We start from the raw sequence: 16,059 nt of genomic DNA, 5'->3' as shown, positions 1-16,059 counted from the left end.
CTAAGTTCACACCCCAATTGTATCTGAGCCAGGACTGGAACTGCTGGGATCTGACTGACTCCAAAGATATGACTCTTAAATTTATCTGTTATTTGATCAAAGCTGGCCTGTAAGTGATTAAAATTTATCATTTAGCCAAGGTTTATGCACGTGTGTCTGTTTAATGTTGAAGTGGGGGGATGCACTTGGCTTATCCGCCTTAGCTTTTGTTTGGGATGGCAGTGTTGTGCATGTGAACTTGTTAGTCTAAATTAGGCTAAAAAGTATTTGATAGTTTAATAAAACTGATGAGTTTACTGAAGAAAGAAGTCCTGCTAAAATCCTTGCTGGCTTTTTTTTTTTTTTAAATAGAAAGCATACAAATAACACTTCACGTTGCATAGAGTAAGCTATAAAAGTGCTAAAATAGAATAATACTCTTCTGAGATACTTTGATTTATAATTTTGGGATCAACTTGGAGTCATCTGAATTCAAACAGGCCGGCAAAGTGGAGCTGTAAATTTCAGGAAGCATTATAAAACCTAATCTTTGGGGAGCCTTTGATTTACCGAGCAACCACCTGTGATTCTTAAATTGAACATTCCTGAGTAAATCTGGAATATGCAAATGTGAAAACTGATTTAGGGTTGTGTAGGGAAATGCACCTTTAACAGTCATGCATCAGGCAAATGAGGCTCCTCAGAAACAGTGAAACATTCTTTGCTATTGCCCTAGGGAGCTGCAGAATCTTCCTCTAACCACCTGGTGTAAACTTAAGGGGTATTTATAGAAGATGTAAACGGAAAATATCCTCTTACTAAAGTTAATATCTTATCCAAAACACTCTTATATCACGTGCCTAGAAGGGCAGATGATGTAAACTTTCTCTGCTGCATGCATTTCCTGGTGTCATAAACACTTGGTACGTTCCTAAATTCCTGGTTAGAAAGCAGGTGGCTACCAGCCTTCTTGTTTCCATAAAATTAGAGTGCTTCAGGTCCTGTGACTCAGTTGTCCTCTTCCTCACTGGGTTAAGAGTAAAAACTGATACTGCTACTGTTGTGGTGTAATATGATGCCTTCTGTGCATGCCTGGTTTCATTCGTGAGATGAAACTTAACAGTCTTACTAGGGCAAATCTAATATATACCTCTATATGTAATGTTTGCAGAATAATGAACTTGGTGGAAACGAGATCTGAAACCCTAGTGCTCATGAGAACCTTGATGTACAGATATTTGGCACTATACTAGGTAGACCTACATATTCGGACACCTTGTATATATATTTTGGAAGAAGACTGATTCTTATGTGCACCGGAGGTTGAGGACCACTGGCTTCAAGTATCATTCTGGCTATTTTCATTTATTATTTATCACAGAGGTATTTCTTAAAATAGCTTGTAGCCTTTTATTTGTGTAGTGGTGGGTGAATTTTGGGCTCTGAATTAGAGCTGACTTGTTCTTATAGCTCTGTCTTCATTTGAAGTTTGTTTGGCTACAGGTATGTTTATTTCTGGGTTCCAGGGCCATAGTGAACTAAAATTAGCTTTTCCTGGAATTAATTGGATATTCTTGAATGCCGATGAGCCAAATATAGCAATATCTCAACCATTTCAGGCTTTTCTAGAGAGTCAGATAGCTTTTGACCTTCAGTGGGTCACTTAAGTTCTGTGAGCCTGTGTCTTCATCTGTGAAGTAAAAGTTGGAATGTAAATTAATGAGTATTTCTAGGCCTACATTTCTGTGATTTAAAGTCCTTTGGGGTGTCATTTAAATATTCTGACTAAATCGATTGAGTCAACCTGTTAATGGTTTTATAAAAACCAAGCAAATTGGTGACTTTGAGCCTACCCTGTTGGGTGAAGATCTGTTTATCATTTATCCTTTCCTTTACATCATAATACTCTTTGAAAAGGTAATTCCCTATAAGTTTCCCATATTATAAATCTCTGAAAGGTTAGTCTTTGCATTGGTTTTGTCATTTAAGTAGCTGAAGGCGTGAAAGAAAAGTGTACTTAATAGCGTTAAAATCTGTGGCTGTTTGCTTGAAATGTGTATATGTAGTATACACTCAAACACTGAGTTTGTTTTTTTTAATCTCAGATCATGAATTGGTAACTAATATAATTTGGGTAGCATGAAATACTCATTCTCCATTTAAATTCATCTGAAAGAGGTAAACTGTCAGCAGTTTGAGATTATTCTTTCTCTGGTTTACTTTTTAAGACTGTAGTTGCTAGAAATTAGTAACTTTATGTCTGTTTTCATGGGAGAGAATAAAAATGCAAATTTTATATACTGTGTATAAAATACACTGTCTCAGGACCTTGTCAGTTTCTTCTTGTCCTTTCTCTCGTTCAGTGCTAACTTTTATTATGAACATGGAATCAGCAAAAGATAACAATACTTTTTACGGTTGAATGAATTCAGATTTACATCTAATAAGTAAAATGTCTTAAAAACCATGCTTTAGTCCAAAATAAAGCATAGTAGTTACTGCCCTACAACTCACAGGTCACTCTCTTAAGTAAATATGATGGCAGTAGAGGCCCAGAAGTGTTGGAGTAACAAAGGACAGTTTTGCCCTTCTGTGGGTGATGTGATGGAAGACACAGAGGGGAGCTGTAGGAAGAACAGAGGCAGTGACCTTAATGTCTGCAATCATTAAGACTCTGCTACTTTGAGTAGTTCACAGAGCATAGTAACAAACTTGAACTGTATCCATTTTAAGTTATACAATGGTTGTATCAATGTTTCAAATACCAGTTGTTAAATGGATAGACTGCTAAGCATTATGTACCCAGCAATCCATTTTTGTGAAGTAGTAATATTGTTATAATAAAGTTTATATTTTTTGAGTACTCATGTGCCAAACACTGTGGTATTTTACATGTCTGATACCCCATTAACTTCTTACAGCCTTAAGAGGCAGGATAGGAAGAGGAAGCAGGCTTAGAGTAAGTTGCCTATAGTCACTTATTCAGTGGCTAAGCTGGGATATGAACCTTTTTGGTTGACTCCACAGCCCAAACATTTAGTCTTCCACTGTGATAAACTGCTTCATCTGCTGACCTCATAAATTAACTCACAGGTCAGGTCAGTGGTTCTTAACTTTGGTGGTGGTGGGAAGGTGTGTGGACTCAGTTGCCCTCTGAAAATCTGTGGGAAGCTATGGACCAAATTTCTCTTCTACCCTTTATGTCCCATCATCACCAAAAAAATTCATACAGACATGGGATTTTGGATATGGCTTCAGGTAATTTATGGACGCAGCTTGAAACCCAGCTGATCATTTTAGATAGATTACTGCTCTAAAAATGGACTTAGGCTTTATTAAAAAACTTTTTTTTTTTTTTAACTAGTAGTCAGGAAAGGCCCAAGTCAGAAGGTGGCCTTATGTACTGTCTGGGTTATAAATTACTTTGTTAAATTTCTGTAGTGTACCCAGGTATGTAACCTGCTACGTGCTTGTCAGGCTTGGCATTCGGTCTGTGCTGGTACCTTTAGCACCTGGCAGAATTCCACTGGGCCTTTTCCCCAAGGTTTATGCACTCTATATATTTTTTTCCTTTTGAACCTCAAAGGAGGTATATTAATGAATGAATGTTTTTTACCTTCATCCTTCTTTTTCCTAGACCAGTGGTTCTGAACCTTTAGTGGACGTCAGAATTACCTAGAAGGCCCCACCCCCAAAGTATCCAATTCCGAGATCTAGTGAAAGGCCTGAGAATTTACATTTCTAACAAATACCCAGGCTCCTGCTCGTGGTGCCAGGACCACATTTTGAGAACCACTGCCCTAGACTATCAAACTATACCCTTCTTCCCTAGAATACTTCTATTTTGGTCCTATAAACCTGAAACCTAAAGATATCTCACAGTTTGCTTGTATCTCTTTTAGGAGAAGCTCTGCGTAGTGTCTTTTTGAAATATACATGGTATCTGTTTGGCCTGTATTATCTTAGTAAATAATGTTGTTCATGTTAATAGAAAGTCAAAACGTAAGCATTATTTATTGAAGAGATACGCCTTACCAAAATTAAGCTCTGGCCTTACACTTAAGTTACTAGAAGATTCTTCACCTTTGGGATAGGCTATAAGCTTTAGCAAACCATCCATCAAGGCCCCTGATGGCAGAAATTCTGAATGGAGAATCTGGCAAGTTGGAGCTCTCCTGCCCCAGTTTGTCCTTGAGAGGGACTCCAACTACTAAGACCTATTCAATCACACATGACTACACATGTTGGCAGGTTTTACCATCAGCTGTTTTACTCTCACATAGTAAGTAGTTATTTCCTACCCTTTTTTCCTTCCTTCTAGGCACTGATAGGAAGAGAGAATGGGAGCAAGTATCTTACCCTTTTTAGATGCATTTGTGCTGAAGGCGTCTTGGTTCACTTGATAGAATATTACCCTAAGAAGTCACCTGAGAGTTCCTGAGCCAGAGCGGAACATTAACTTAACAGTGTAACATTTCTGCTCTATCTAACTGTACCTGATAATAAAATAGTCTATCCATGCCTGGACCTGTGTCTGAATTGTCCTTGAATTTTTATGGATAAAAAATTGAATATAGGAAACAAGTTATAGTGAAGAGACATCTGCCTTCATTTACACATGCAGTACATTTTTACATCATAGACAAATGTGTACAAAATTATCTTAGGCAAATTGATATGCGGTCACCTATTTTATGTTACATACAGTCCTGAGGAGTCGTAGAGGGTAGTGTCTAGGCCACATATCACAGCACTTGTTTTTGAAAAATTCGAATATTCACCTGTAATTTCAGATAAATCCATTCTAAAGACATCTTAGGTATCTGCCACTAGTATTTTCAAAAGGTTTGTGTGTACTCTTGGCTCTCTCACAGCTCATAATGCATCTTGGCTAGGGCAGAGATATGTGAAAAAAATGGCGTACGGGTCCTGCTAATGACAGCTGTCCATGGCTGTTAGGCTAGAGTTCATGTGTAATCCTAGGCATATAAGCCATCCGTCTGTAAACACCTAAAGAATGATATTAGTTAAGATGAACAGTGAAAACAGATTGATCTATGTGCCTTCTGTTTCATCTCAAAATACTTAAACACAGAGCCCTTATCTTCTTCCTCAAACCTACATTTTATTCAGAAAGATTGCTTATAGAAGTGAAGTTATAATGATGAACATAAGTGAGAACACAACTTTTGGGTCAAATATGAAAGGGAAAAAAGTCTAGATCTGGAGGCAGGTTTCTTTTTAAATTTGGCTTTCGAAGATAAGGACGTGGATTGACACTGGTGTTCTGCTCTGCCAGGTGTTTCCATCTGCATTCCTCCCTTCCCCTCAGGAGGTTCACAGATCACATCTCACTTTACTGACCAGAGTGATTATGCCTTGTAGTACCCCCATAGGACAGGATTGAAATACAAATGAATAAGTCAATAAACACTTAAAAATATAAATAAGAGTAGAATAGTAGGTAGCCTTTGACATACCAACATAAAATTGCTACCAATTTAGTACCATTATCATTTTTAGTGCAGTAATAAAGAAATTAAAAGTCTTAACATTGAGCATTGGACAAAAACACTCTGCTTGGCAGGGGGTGGGGGCTCACGCCTGTAACCCCAGCACTATGGGAGGCCAAGGTGGATGGATCACTTGAGTCCAGGAGTTCTAGACCAGCCTGGGCGACTTAGGGAGACCCTGTCTCTACAAAAAAATACAAAAATTAGTTGGGCATGGTGGTGCGTGCCTGTATTCCCAGCTACTTGGGAGGTTGAGGTGGGATGATTGCTTGAGCCTGGGAGGCGAAGGTCGCAGTGAACCATGAGTCATGATTAGGCCACTGAACTCCAGCCTGAGCGACAGAGCAGGGCTCTATCTCAAAAAACAAAACAAAAAAACCAACCACCAACAACAAAACCACTCTGCTTTCCTAGAGTAGGGCCTTTATGTAGGATGGGTTGTGGCTGGGCAGTCTACAGGATCTCATCTAGCGTAGATCCTAATTTTACCCTTGCCTTAGATATTTCTTTTCAGGTAAAATGTCCAACCGGGATTAGTCGCAAGAGGAAGTCTATATGACTCACTGGACTAACTGCTTATTTTAAGATTCTGATTTTAAGATTAGAGGCTCTTGCACTTTATTTATTTATGTATTTATTTTGAAACGGAGTTTTGCTCTTGTTGCCCAGGCTGGAGTGCAGTGGCACTATCTCGACTCATTGCAACCTCCACCTCCTGGGTTCAAGTGATTCTCCTGCCTTAGCCTCCCGAGTAGCTGGGATTACAGGCATGTGCCACCACGCCTGGCTAGTTTTGTATTTTCAGTAGAGATGGGGTTTCTCCATGTTGGTTAGGTTGGTCTCAAACTCCCGACGCCAGGTGATCCGCCCACCTTGGCCTCCCAAAGTGCTGGGATTACAGGCGTGAGCCACCACACCTGGCCTGGGCTCCTGCACTTTAATTCAAGCCCTGTGACTTGCAGTGAGTGTGGCCAGGCAAGCACTCCCTGTCAGAATGGTATGATCCCTCTTTTCTGGAGGGCCAGCCTGCCTGCAGCACTGTTCACAGGCTTGCAGGTGCCACTGAAGAGACCAGTGGAGTTTAATGTCTGGAATGTGTTCCACGTGGAAATATAATTACTCTGTCATCTGGAACAAGCGATTTTAATTGTTAGAGAGTTCCTCAGTCCACTAGTTTGACTTTGGCCATGGTCGTACATTTAAGAACTTGGTTCAAGTTTTTTCCATGTTTAGGGTAATTAGGTGTCCATAGTATATGAGGCTCAGCTTTCATACTCTATTCAACTCTGGAATGGCTGCCAAAGAAGCTGATTAAATCTTACCAGTTCTGAGCAGGGTGTTTTTGCCTCTTGTGTGCCAGGTGCCAGGATAGGCCCTAGGTGTCCCAGATGGTTCCTGTCCTCATGGAGTTTACCATCTAGTGATCAGATTGTACCTAAATATAGTTTGAAGGACCCATATTTTAAAAGCAAACAAAAATGTATTTATATATACTCATTTAGCATGGATATTTAATACAAGTTAATTTGGACAGAAAGTAGGGTAAAAGGGGGAAGAAAATAGAAAAATGATAGCTGTTCACAAACATTTTATGTCTCTTTTGTAGTAAACTTAAGTCATGCTGCCTGAAGGCAGAATTAGGCTTTGCACATTTATTTAAGAAATACTGGCCAGGTGCAGTGGCTCACGTCTGTAATACTAGCACCTTGGGAGGCCTTGGTGGGAGGATTGCGTGAGGCTAGGAGTTTGGGAACAGCCTGGGCAACATAGTGAGACCCCATCTTTAAAACTAAAAGAAACCGATTAGTCGGGCCTGGTGGAGTGCATCTGTATTCCTAGCTACTCGGGAGGCTGAGGTGGGAGGATCACTTGAGCCTAGGAGTTTGAGGTTGCAGTGAGCTATGATGGCTCCACTGTACTCTAGCCTAAGAGTGAGACCCTGTCTCTAAAAAAGAAAGAGAGAAAGAAAGAAAAAGAAAAGATTTTAACTTCTAGTCATTCAATCAAGAAGTGCCAGACAGCATGGTAGCTGCTTGAAATACAGTACTGAGTAAGCTGCGGTCTCTCCCTGGATATAACTCCTAGTGAAGGAGGCATGTTCAGTAATCAATCAAGCTTATTTAATTGGGTTGTGGTAAGTGACACAAGAAATATAGGCTGCAAGAGTATAACAGGGGACCTGACCTAGTCTGGAAGGTGGAAGTGGGAGGCAAGTAGAGGCCTAGGAGGTCTTCTCTGAGGAAGTGAGCATTTAAGCTGAGATTTTAAGGATGAAGAGTGAGTTTAGGAGGAGCCAAAGGTAGACTCTCTTAGGCTCAGGAATGGGGAGCATGTGGCTTAGCCAAGGAACTGAAAGGCCAGTGAGTCAAGGTGGTGGGGAGGGTTGGGGAGGGGTGAGGACTGTGGGGACTGTGGCAGGCGGTGAGGCCCTGCAGGCCCACTCAGTGCTTTGTGCCTCTCACTGTCCTGGACCTGCCTCACATGGCTCCTCCAGTAACTTCGGTGTGCCCCGTGCTGTGCCGAGGGCAATGGAATGCATCATCTCATGTAATCCCCACAAGCCTTGTGAGCTTGATGCCATCATTATTCTAACTTTACAGACGAGGTAACTTACGGTTAGACATTGGAGACTTAAGATAAATAGCTAAATGTTACACAGCTAATAAGTTGCAGAGCTTGGATTTTAACCCGGAACTCTCTAATTCTAGGGCCTATCCTGCCCATTCATTTATACCTCTAACAGACATTAACAAAAGACAGAGATTACAAGTTCAGCACAATATAAAGAATTTTCCAGCAACCAGCTGTTCAGAAATGTAGACGGGGAGAGGCACGTGCTTCCAATGATTATGAGTGTTCATTCCAGTGGAAACGTGGTGGCCACCTGTCAGGGATAGAGGAGGAAGAAGCTTGTGCCAGATGAACCCCTAACCCGCTTTTGATTACATCTGGGATTTTGCTTCATTGTACATATGTTTTCTTCCTTCAGTGACCATGAAAGACACCAGGTTGACAGCACTGGAAACTGAAGTACCAGTTGTCGCTAGAACAGGTAAGCTATAACCAGGCCAGTGGTTAGAGGAAGATGGGAGGGAATTATCTTGCCCATGGTCGTGCATTCAGGGATTTAACATTTACAGTTTTAGCTACTTGCCAGGAACTGGACCATCTATGGCATGAAGGGATTAGTCACATTACTGATGATTATTAGTTGCTTGTATTCAGTGCCTGACACTGTGCAAAGCGCATTATATGCGTTACTTTCTTCTTCACAGCCACGCTTTTGGTGTTTCCCCATTTTACAGGTGAGGATTCGGGTTCAAACATGTCAATTTTCCTAAAGATGCATAGCTGGTACTTAGTGGACTCAATTCAGCTCTGTTTAGCAGCAAAGTTTGGTTGTGACCACTTCATTCAATTAAAGCCTGTGTGCTGGCACAAGTCATTTAACTAGTGCAGACGTTCTTAACCCTGGCTGCACCTGAGAAATCTGCATGGGTTTATAAAAACAAACCAAATGTGATGTCCGGATTCCATCCCTTAGTTAACCTGCTCCAGAGTTTCTGTAAGCTCTCCAGGTGATTCTGATGTACATCCTGGGCTGAGAACCCTTGAGCTGGTGAGTGAGCATTTGCATCTTAACATGGCTATATCTGTTGCTTTAAATTAATTTTGGGGGATAAATTATATGCTATAGTAGTTTTTAGGAATTGGATGATCCTGTCTCAGAATATATCCTTCATAAATGTTGAGGCGCCGGCATTTCCACGGATGGAATTTCCTCTTAGTGACTTAACTGATCACTGAACTGTAATTTTGGTTTAGCAGTAATAGTGCCAAGCGCAACAGAGCTGTGTATAGGAAGGGTGTAGGGAAGACGGGAGGTGCTTGGTCTGCTGTCTTTGTACATGGACAGCTCTGTGACTCATGCCGAGGCTCAGTGGTTGCTGTTTAGTGTATTCTGTCACTGTCTGCCTCACCTCTGTCGTAGGAATTGTAAAATAAGGTAGGGATTTTTGTCTTACAGCTCTACATTGGTTCATAAGTAGGGTCTTGATACAAATTGTAGACTGTCGAAAGTTAAGTATTGTTCTCAAGTAGGGAAAGTTTTCTGAGTTTGATTTTTCATTTTCAGTGTTTTTGTGTATACTTCATACTGTTCCTTTTTTAGAAGTCCACTGTATATGAATTTGAACCCAAAGTCAAATGGTTAAGTGTTCAGATCATTGAGGTCCCCAAGCTAAATATCACCATCATAAAATGTAAATTCTGGGATACAAAAGTAAATCTCAAATTTTATTAAACATTTTTCACGATAGTAATTGTATTGCATTTTAGTAGTCAGATTTTAGAAGTTTGGAATTTTAATATAGGAAAAATACTTTGTGGGCACTACCGGCTGCTAGGTTACTCCTGTGGTCACTATGTCACATGTGTAGTATCATCTCAACTGGCACACAGCGTCATTGGTAACATTTTTGGACAAAGCAGAATTCAGGAAAGTTTCTGGTAGATGGTTTTCTGGAAGGAACCTTGTACCTGGGATTCATAGCTTGGCAAGCCTCAAAGATCCTTACTCTTCAATTACTAAAAATTGTTGGCCGCCTTTAGCAATTATTCTTATTTTGAAACAAAAAAAACCCCAGCTTTTAATAGCATTTTTCTTTTTTCATGGGGTACTCTTGTTTATACTTTTGTCCTCATTTTTAAGACATTTTTGGCCAGGTGTGGTGGCTCACACCCGTAATCCCAGCACTTTGGGAGGCCAAGGTGGGAGGATCACATGAGGTCAGGAGTTCGAGACCAGCCTGGCCAACATGGTAAAACCCCATCTCTACGAAAAATACAAAAATTAGCCAGGCATGGTGGTGTGCGCCTATAATCTCAGCTACTCGGGAGGCTGAGGCAGGAGAATCACTTGAACCCAGGAGATGGAGGTTGCAGTGGGCCAAGATTGTGCCATTGCACTGCAGCCTGAGTGATGGAGCGAGACTCTGTCTCAATTAAAAACAAACAAAACACCAAAGCCAAAGCCAGACAGCCACCAGATTTTGGCTGAGTATAGAGACTGAAACTGAACTTTGGCAGATCCCTGCTTTCCATGTTTTTTGAGATCATAAGTATCATTGGATCAAATCTGGCTACTAGTTGTATAGTTTAAACTTAGTTCAAGGTTTCTCATGAATTACAAAGTATCTTTTATTGAAAAGTGATGACTGAGAACCTCCCTGCTGCTTTAGATTGGGTGGTCAGGGGAGGCCCATCAGATATCTGCGAGACCGTCAGCTGTGCAAGGATGTGGGAGAAGAGTGTTTCATGCATAGAGGGAACAGCAAGTGCAAAGGCCTTGAGCAAGAAAGAACCAGTATTCCTGTGTTTGGGAAGACTGGGACTAGAGCAGAGGAATGAAGAGGCAGAGGGGGGTTGGGAGGTTAATAACTGGCTGGATCTTATGAGGCCTTGTAGGCTACTCATGAGTTTCATAAGTTCCATAATGTTATTGGCTCTTATTAATTCCATGGGAAGCCATTGGATGATTTTAAACAGAGGAGTGAGATTCTGATGTTTATATCTCAATGTCTCTTGTGGTTATTTGGAGGCAAATGAATTTTGTAGGGTAGCATGAATACAAGCAAGGAGAGTAGTGAGGGGGGCTGCTGCTCCCTTGTCTCTGAGAGATGATGCGGGCTTCGACTGAGGTGATAGCAAAGGGTTTGCTGATGGATTAGATGTGGTGGTGGGGGTGGTGAAAGAGTCAAGGAGTCACCTGGGTGTTTGCTTTAGACTGATGGTAGTGCCTTTTACTGAGATCCAGAAGATGGCAGAGTGATGGATTTTGGAGTGGAGATTGGCCTTGAAGGTCATGCCCTCTGAATATGACTAGCATCATCTACAGCACTGTACTGTGCACTGTATGTGGCCACTAAAGATAATATTAAACTAAATGGAATATTGCTTTAGCATGTACGATACAGAAATCCATTCACCCAGTTGCTGTCTTTTAACTTCTCCTGTATGGCTATTTTCTATGGTGAGTTACTTCCAAAATGGAAAAGAGACTTATGGCTAGAGACTTTTGTGGCTAACACACTGATGCTTCCTTGTGTCTGTGGTGCTAATCTTTAATTGACTTTTCTCAGCCAGTCTTCTATAGGCTGTAAAGTGTGTTTAACATGTGTATATTTCATCCACCACTACCACCACCCCTGACTGAGTCCATGTAGGGCTGGTTTCTTCCCCTTTTTTGTACACATATTGAACCATGTCTTTTTTTCTGCTATAAAACATTTAATTCTTCATTGCACTGGCTAAATCTGTTTTACCTGCTTAACACCTTGCACTTACTGTAGACCCTCAAATGTTTGAATGTGCTTAAAAAGGAGATATTCTAGTTGTGGGACTGATTCCAAAAGCTATGATTTAACTCTTAGGAGGGCTTTTTAGAATGTCAAAAATGCTTGAACTTGAGCCACTTATGCGAAGAATCTCACATAAAACCCAATGTTTATATTTTTCCTGGAGATTAAAAACTATGGTAAACAGTAGAATTTTGGAAGGCAGCTATGCTCACCACTATACCACCAACGCGGCCGACAGTAGGATTTTGGAACCAGAGAGAAAAACTTGTTGCCAAAACGTGTTTCTAATGTGTTTTAGAATAAAACCTTACTTTGCAAATGGAAAAACAAGCTAGGTGGCCCAAGCTGATTAGCCCACACTATCGCCAAGTTGACTGGATGGGCGCCATCTTTGTTTAAAATTGAGCTCATGTCACTCCGGGCTCTGGGGCTGCCTGCATTTGGAGGACCAGATATGACATTATCGTCTTCTGACTACACAGAAGGCAAACTCAGAGTCTCCCTAGACAAATAGTAGGTAAGTAACAATTTTATTGAAACAAAACCAAACTTAGGGACAAGATACTTTTAAATTTATGAACAACATTCTTTGTCACTAATTGAGAATCATTTGTGATTTACCTGAAGCAGAAATCAATGTGGGGGTTAGCTAGACAAGTGTGCCATTAAAAAGTCATCTTGAAAGTGGTGGCCCAAAGATTTTTACTGGTATTTTTTATGATAATATACAGGTACTATGCAGCGAGTGTTTATATGTACCTGATACCATACTAATCGCTTTTTGGTTTTGAACTTTTACGGTAGAATCTTACCAACGGTGGTCTCACATTTTGGAGCCCTTTGAAATTAACTTCCTATGTGATTTACTTGTAAGATTTTTATTTATAGATATGAGTCAGCAACTTCCTATATCATGGTATCAAAAAGGCATTTAGACATTTTAATTGATTTTTCTGATAAATGAACTTCTAACTTACTAAGAGCCAAAATCAGTGAATGTCACAAGATTGTAATTAAATAAGAATATAGATGATAGCAAGTTAATACCTGGCAGTTTTTGGGGTCATGGCTAATTTAAATTTGGCATTCTTGCAGAAGGAGCTTATCTCTCTCTTTTTTTTTTTTTTTTTTTTTTTTTGAGGCAGAGTCTTGCTTTGTTGCCCAGGCTAGAGTGCAGTGGCATGACCTTGACTCACTGCAACCTCCGTCTCCCAGGCTCAAGTGATTCTCCTGCCTCAGCCTCCTGAGTAGGTGGGACTACAGGCACACGCCACCACACCAGCTAATTTTTGTATTTTTAGTAGAGACGGGGCTTCACCATGTTGGCCAGGTTGGTCTCGAACTCTTGACCTTAGGTGATCTGCCTGCCTCGGCCTCCCATTATGCTGGGATTACAAGCGTGAGCCACCATGCCTGGCCTCAGCCACTACATCCGGCCTCAGCTTAACTCTTTAGTTGGATTTTTCTTTATCATAGTGTTTCTCAAAAATAATTTGTGTCTCACTTTAAGAATTACCTGGAGTGCTTATTAAAATATAGATTCCTGAGCCCAAAATACAGTTTTGGAAGGGGCCCAGGTATTGCATTTCTAGCAAGTATCCCAGGTGGTTTCGATGCACATTGAAGCTTAAGAACTGCTACTTACACTTACTGAAAGAAAAGGAAGTGTTATCCTTTTTGGGCATGCATATCCCCATGTGTAAAATAAGGATGATACCTGCTCACACCACATCACATCACATCACAGACTTGCTGTGATGATCAAAACCACAGGTTAGCTTAGTGTGACACTTAAGGGCTTGGGGCTTTGGAGTCGGGCATACCTAGCTTCCAATATCAGTTTTTCTCCTCTGGTTTTGCCTCTTGCTAGCTTTGTGACCCAGAACAAATGGCTTGATCTCCATTCTGCTCCCTGTACAATGGGGACAAAAGTGCCAATTACATGGTGGTCATATTAGGAGTATATACAATGATGTTTGTGAAAGGTGTACAGTGCTTATGAATGATAACTGTTGTTACTTGTTTTAACAAATATAGCCTCAGAGATCAAAGTGGGGGAGAAATCGTAAATGTGTATAGTTACACTTGGGAATGAGCTGCTTTTTGTATATCAAGATAAAGCAGCTGCTCTACTACCATAGAGAGCTTGGGTTTTGAAGGGTGAGTTTTTGAAGATTTGCCCTGATGATCCCATCTATGGATACCTCCCTGTAGCCAGTGGTATTTGGGTGTGCAATTAGATGTCTCAGATGAGAGGTATATGCTAAAACAGAGAAATGATCCCCAGTTTATGCTAGATGTTGGACTTAACAGACTTGTGACCTAACCAGCTATACTAACTCTTAGCCATTGATGAGACTGTCAAGAAGGAAATAGTATGTATTTAGTTCTTTTGCTGAAAAAAGACTGTCTGCTTTTTAGATCAATAATTTGAAATATAAATGTGGTCTTAGCCAAAACCCAAGGTAGAATCAGAAGTAGGAATAAAACTTAGATTTGATCCTATCATTAAGTTGCTGTGACTGGTATCAGTTTTTAAGGTTTCTTTCTGATTGTTATATTTTGTAGAAACCCTCTTCATAAACTCGCCAAAGAATTATTCATACACTTTATCTTCTTTTATCAGCTAAATGTACTCACTGTTTGAATCAGAGAATTCTGGCCAAACTTTCCATTGCATTGAACACGTGCATTAGTTTGTCTTGCAGGTATTTTCTTTTTTTATGGAGAAAAATGGGGCCATTTAGTGACTGTTCATCTTCCTTTTTCTCAGTTTGGTAGTGGCCCCAATGAAGAACCTTCAGAACCTGTAGCACACGTCCTGGAGCCAGCACAGCGCCTTCGAGCGAGAGAATGGCCCAACAAGCAAATGTCGGGGAGCTTCTTGCCATGCTGGACTCCCCCATGCTGGGTGTGCGGGACGACGTGACAGCTGTCTTTAAAGAGAACCTCAATTCTGGTTAGCAAAATAATATCCTTTTTAGCTTATCTTCTAGAAAGAAGAGATTGACTTTAGAGCCACTAGAATCCTGCTGATACATTTTAGTTTTCATCTTCTGAAAAGTTTTTTAAACACCCAAAGAGAGTATCTATATGTGTTTTAAACTTTCAATTATGGAAATACTCAAGTATGCACACACATGAAGTAAGAATCATGCAGTGAACCCCATGAATCCAGTTTCAAATTCTTTCCTCCCTGACTCTCCCACCCTCCAAATATTTTAAAGCAAATTCCAGATGTTGCTTTAACTGTAAATCATATATGTGGTTTTTAATATGAAAAGTGCTTAACCTCTTTTTAATATGAGAAATACAAATTTAAATAGTACCCTTTTTTGCTTACCAGGTTGGCAAAATTAAATATTGAATATAGAAATGGGCACTGTTAGCAGGAATATGAATTGATGTTCAGCCTTTTGGAGCATCAGTCATCAATTTTAAAACACATACCATTTGGGCCATTTATAAGAATCTGTATCTTATTACAGCTTTGAGTGAAATACAGTGAAGAATTGGAAAAACCCAAGTATCCTTCAGTAGGTGAATGGTTAAATTAGTTATGTAGAGCCATGCAGTGGAACACTAGGAGGACGGAAAGAAATGAAATAGGCCATAGATGCTGACGTGGGAAGGTGGTTACAACATACTGTTCAGTGGAAAAAACACACACATGCACAAACTGTGTCTGTGTCTGTGGACATGAGGGCTGTGTGCGTGTGGTTATACAAGTAGAAAAGGGTTTGAAGAGACACACTCTAAACTTAAGGGTGTTTATCTGTGAAGAGTGGGTTGGGAGGCAGGTGGTGAGGAGCACTTTCATTTTTATTTTATGTACTTTTACATAGCCTGAATGTTTAACAGTAGATATGGATTATTTTTTGTAATTAAAAAAGCAATAAAGGGCCAGGTGTGGCGGCTCACGCCTGTAATCCCAGCACTTGGGGAGGCCGAGGCGGGCGGATCACAAGGTCAGGAGATTGAGACCATGTTGGCCAATGTGGTGAAACCCCATCTCTAGTAAAAATACAAAAATTAGCCAGGCGTGGTGGCAGGTGCCTGTAATCCCAGCTAGCTACTTGGGAGGCTGAGGCACGAGAATTGCTTGAACCCAGGAGGCAGAGGTTGCAGTGAGCTGAGATTGTGCCACTGCACTCCAGCCTGGCAACAGAGTGAGACTCCATCTCAAAAAAAAAAAAAAAAAAAAGGCA

The 16,059-nt window shown here is 40.6% G+C and overlaps 1 protein-coding gene across 49 annotated transcripts in view; it reads left to right on the top strand.

The window, feature by feature from the left end:
- TSC1 (TSC complex subunit 1) overlaps positions 1–16,059 on the top strand; it is a 54,030-nt gene that overhangs the window by 1,802 nt on the left and 36,169 nt on the right. For 42 of the 49 annotated variants that reach the window (NR_176216.1, NR_176217.1, NR_176214.1 and 39 more), the window contains exons 2-3: positions 8,482–8,544; positions 14,625–14,810. Coding sequence is in view for 26 of the 49 variants with exons in the window: in XM_011518979.3 (XP_011517281.1) it covers positions 14,705–14,810 (106 nt within the window). In the remaining 23 variants the exon portion in view is untranslated. Of the gene's footprint in view, positions 1–8,481; positions 8,545–12,149; positions 12,369–14,624; positions 14,811–16,059 lie in introns of all 49 variants that reach the window. The other 7 variants (NM_001406600.1, NM_001406595.1, NM_001406599.1 and 4 more) reach the window with 3 other exon arrangements.

The sequence above is a fragment of the Homo sapiens genome, chromosome 9 (genome assembly GCF_000001405.40).
Source record: "Homo sapiens chromosome 9, GRCh38.p14 Primary Assembly".
Classification (NCBI taxonomy): Eukaryota; Metazoa; Chordata; class Mammalia; order Primates; family Hominidae; genus Homo; species Homo sapiens.
This window is presented reverse-complemented; position numbering and strand designations above follow the sequence as displayed.